The 4,251-nt window shown below is 37.9% G+C and overlaps 1 protein-coding gene across 2 annotated transcripts in view; it reads left to right on the forward strand.

The window, feature by feature from the left end:
* Window positions 1–4,251, forward strand: part of PLCB1 (phospholipase C beta 1) — a 752,635-nt gene that overhangs the window by 494,756 nt on the left and 253,628 nt on the right. For both annotated transcript variants that reach the window (NM_182734.3, NM_015192.4), the window contains exon 4: window positions 1,273–1,410. In NM_182734.3, the coding sequence (NP_877398.1) occupies window positions 1,273–1,410 (138 nt within the window). The remainder of the gene's footprint in view (window positions 1–1,272; window positions 1,411–4,251) is intronic.

Raw genomic sequence — 4,251 nt, forward strand, 5'->3', positions numbered from 1 at the left:
TGTTTTAGTGATAGCATTTGATCTTTCTAGGAGGCTTGATGTACTTGATAAGGTTTCAACTTGTTAGTGAAAGTGAGATTTCAGTTATATTAGGCAGAGCTTTGAAATGGGGTTTTCTTTCTTCATAACTTTCCTGAAAAGGTGACTTTTCATGCAGCCAAACAGAGAAAGTTTTATTAACTAAAGAGAGAATTAATGGCACCAAGTAAAGTAACTCAGCTGGAAAGGTTTTGTTTGTTTTCTTTCTTGGTTGTGTGTGGTTTATTTAAACATCTACTATTTTTTTAAACATCTACTATTTAGATTTTTTTTAAACATCTACTATTTCTTCATAAGGATGCTGTATATCAAAACCTCCAAAAAGAGGTCAGAATAGCCAGTCTAAGTAATCAGGACCTGTTGGCCCAGTATTTAGCTAAATAAATAAGAATGTAAGTGTACTCCTGGCTCAGAAGCTGGCCAGCAAATTTGCTAAGTGATTGATTTGATGCTAATTTTCTGCATGGACTTCTCATTTCCTTCAGGGCCTGTCCTATGGGAGGAAATAACTTCAGCCAAGCTGACTGAGCCCTATTTTAGGTTTCACTTTGAGCTTTGAATGTTTGGAAAACTCCCTTTCCCAGCAGGACTACATCTCCAAAGGATTTCCATTTATGATGACCCAAAGAATGCAACTTGCTCTAAAAAGACTGCAGAAGTTCCCTATGTCCAAATCCCAGTACATTCCGAGGACAGAACTGAAATCAACATATGCATGGCAGGCACTACGATTTTGCTCACGCTAATTCTGTGTCTCTTTGCATCAGTACTGACTGTTGGAGCAGGTCTACGCTGAGAGCCAGGGCTGTGTTTCTTCCCTAGTCCTACGTAGGCATTGTCATATTTTAATTTCAGAATAACCACCTTCTTTGTCTTAGTGCATTCAGGAATTAAGGAGAAGAATAGAGATTTTTCATTGCAATACACAATTTATGGGATGATTGAAGGAAATAGAGAACCATGACACATAAAAATGTGTGATAGGATCACAGAAAGAGCACTTAACTGCAGGCTATAGTCTTGAGCCAGAAATTGTCTCTCCACTACCTCTGGGCAAGTTGCTTCATCTCTCTAGGCCATTTGTGGAATGGGAGCCTTAAACTCCTACAATTTTCTAGTAAGAATAAAAGCAACTTTGTTTTGAAATCATTCTAACTCAACAGAAGTTGAAGTTATGCTATCACGTTGGAATCTCTAGTTATAGACTAATTATTTTCAATATTTATTACCCAGGACCCCAAATTACGTGAACTTTTGGATGTGGGGAACATCGGGCGCCTGGAGCAGCGCATGATCACAGTGGTGTATGGGCCTGACCTCGTGAACATCTCCCATTTGAATCTCGTGGCTTTCCAAGAAGAAGTGGCCAAGGTATGGTGGATGGAAATTGCTAAAGCTTATCATCATGATCTGAATCCTTGAGCTATCATACTAATGCCTGCAAAAGACTGAATTTTTGTCATATTTAGCATGTGTTAAAATTTCACCTAAAAATAATTCAGCTGCCAAGTATAAGTGCAATTAAAATACTTCTAAATAATGGCATCAACTTAAGAATTATGGAGATTTTTTTCATAAAGAATAAGCCATTTGGCCGGGCACGGTGGCTCATGCCTATAATCCCAGCACTTTGGGAGGCCGAGGCGGACAGATCACTTGAGGTCAGGAGTTTGAGATGAGCCTGGCCAACATGGTGAATCCCTGTCTCTACTAAAAATACAAAATTAGCTGGGTGTGGTGGCGGGCACCTCTAATCCCAGCTAATTGGGAGGCTAAGGCAGGAGAATCGCTTGAACCCAGGAGGTGGAGGTTGCAGTGAGCCAAGATTTGCCACTGCACTCCAGCCTGGGTGACAGAGTGAGACTGTATCTCAAAAAAAAAAAATAAATAAATAAAGAGAATAAGGCATTTGATATAGTTTCTTTGCATAACAAAATACAAATAAAACCACATTCTATTTCATCTAAACACTTTCTCCCAAGTCATTCTCTCTTAGCCTCATCCCTATGCCACTTCTAAGTCCGTGTCATTTCCAGCTCTCTCCTAGGGGACAGACATCTTCAGCCCTCTTTAAACTTCTTAATCCCTGGGCAGCAACTAGCCCACCATAATCCATGTAGTAGTTACTCAGTTAATATGTAGACTAATGAAAAACTAACAGTTTAAAATAAAAATTTTAGATAATAATGAAAATAATATTAAGTAAGAACAAATAATATTTATTCAATTACGGATTAGAAAGATGAATTAGATATGGCCCACCCACTGAGGAGCTGCCATTTCACTAGGAGCAAGCCTTTCAGATATTTACAAAAATAGCTAGAAAACAGGTATAATGTAGCAAACAAGAAGCTGTGAACATCTAGGACCCCTGGATTCAAGTGCAATGCTTTCTCTAGAAACGTCCAATTGTCATTGAAAGAATACTGAAATGAACATATTTAAAGAAGAGCTTTCTTTTTCCATTTTTATAGTTTATAAAATACTAGTGATAGTCCTTCTCCTTCATATAACTTCCTTCAAGAGTTGAGAATATGAATCTAAGAAAACTTTGAGTTCTGCATATAATATATGTGCCTTACAGAGCTTCTCATGTCATGCATCACAACTACAGGGTCACTTCATGTCAGTGTGCATTGTCTAAGTATTGTGATCTACAATTTTTTAACCCTCAGTGCTCTGGTGATTTTCTGAGCTACACCAGATGTGTTGGCCTGGTTCCTTCCTTCCTTTCTTTCTTTTCTTTCTTTTCTTTCTTTTCTTTCTTTCTTTCTTTCTTTCTTTCTTTCTTTCTTTCTTTCTTTCTTTCTTTCTTTCTCTCTCTCTTTCTTTTCTTTCTTTCTTTCTCTTTCCTTTCTTTCCTCTCTTCTTTCCTTTCTTTCTCTCTTTCTTTTCTTTCTTTCTTCTTTCTTTCTTTCTTTCTTTCTTTCTTTCTTTCTTTCTTTCTTTCTCTTTCTTCTTTCCTTTCTTTCCTCTCTTCTTTCCTTTCTTTCCTTTCTTTCTTTTTCTCTCTCTCTCTTTCTTGTTTTTTTTTTTGATGGAGTCTCACTCTGTCGCCAGGTTGGAGTGCAGGTAGTGGCTCCTGCACTCCACTTGGCTCACTTCAACCTCTGCCTCCTGGGTTCAAGCCATTCTCCTGCCTCAGCCTGCCGAATAGCTGGGACTACAGGCGCATGCCACCATGCCCAGCTAATTTTTGTGTTTTTAGTAGAGACGGGGTTTCACCATATTGACCAGGATGGTCTTGATTGTCCTGGTTTCTGTGTCATTAGTGATTATTGGCAGGGATTTATTTCTAACACTTATGTAATATTGACTTTAATTCTTATAATGGGATGCATAAAATGCCAACCAGTTTTAATATTCTAATGTCTTTAGAAACTACTCTTTCCAAGTATGTTGTAAACAGAATCTACTTTCTCTCTTTATAAGCCAAGTTACCCATTTATTTCTATAGTATCATTTATACTTGGAGAGATTTCAGTTCAATGAACATTGTCTGTGTGACATATACTTTATTTTGCTGTATATGAATGGATAGTTGGATGGATAAATTAATACAGAAAAAACAGATTCTAAGTGTTTGCAAAATATTTTTAAAATATGTTTCCCCAAATGAACTATATTCCTTTTATAAAAAGTGACCAATTTATGGGATGCACTAAATCTCAATTAAAAACATGCAATAAATGGCAGTGGCTTTCAGGGAAGCTTTTGCTAAGAGTAAATATATTTATATTACACATCAATCTGCATATCTTAAGTTGCATTAAGCCTTTGTGCAGTCCTATCTAAAATATATTTAATTTCCTCTTCTCTGTGGGTTACTAGCCACTAATTTTCCTTAGGGATTTTTATCTCCAATCCCTGTAATATTCCCTCTCAGGAGTGCATCTGTAGAGATTTTCCCAGGGGCTACTTGATGTTCCCAGTATAATTAATGAAGCTATGGAGAATATTTTGCCTTCCCTGGCTGTGATGTTCTATAGAGTATTTTCCCCCACACTGAAAGTGCTCAGCCAGAAACTTAAGATTTGCAAGTACCACTGTTACCTTGGAGCATCACGTATCACAGTCACACAGGGAGCCTGTTAAAACACAGATTGTTGGGCCCCAGCCCCAGCAGGTCTGGGATGGAGCCTGAGCATCTTCATTTCTAACTGGTCCCAGGTGATGCTAATGCTGCTGGTCCAGGCACCACACTTTGACAAT

Source organism: Homo sapiens, chromosome 20 (genome assembly GCF_000001405.40).
Source record: "Homo sapiens chromosome 20, GRCh38.p14 Primary Assembly".
NCBI classification, from domain to species: Eukaryota; Metazoa; Chordata; class Mammalia; order Primates; family Hominidae; genus Homo; species Homo sapiens.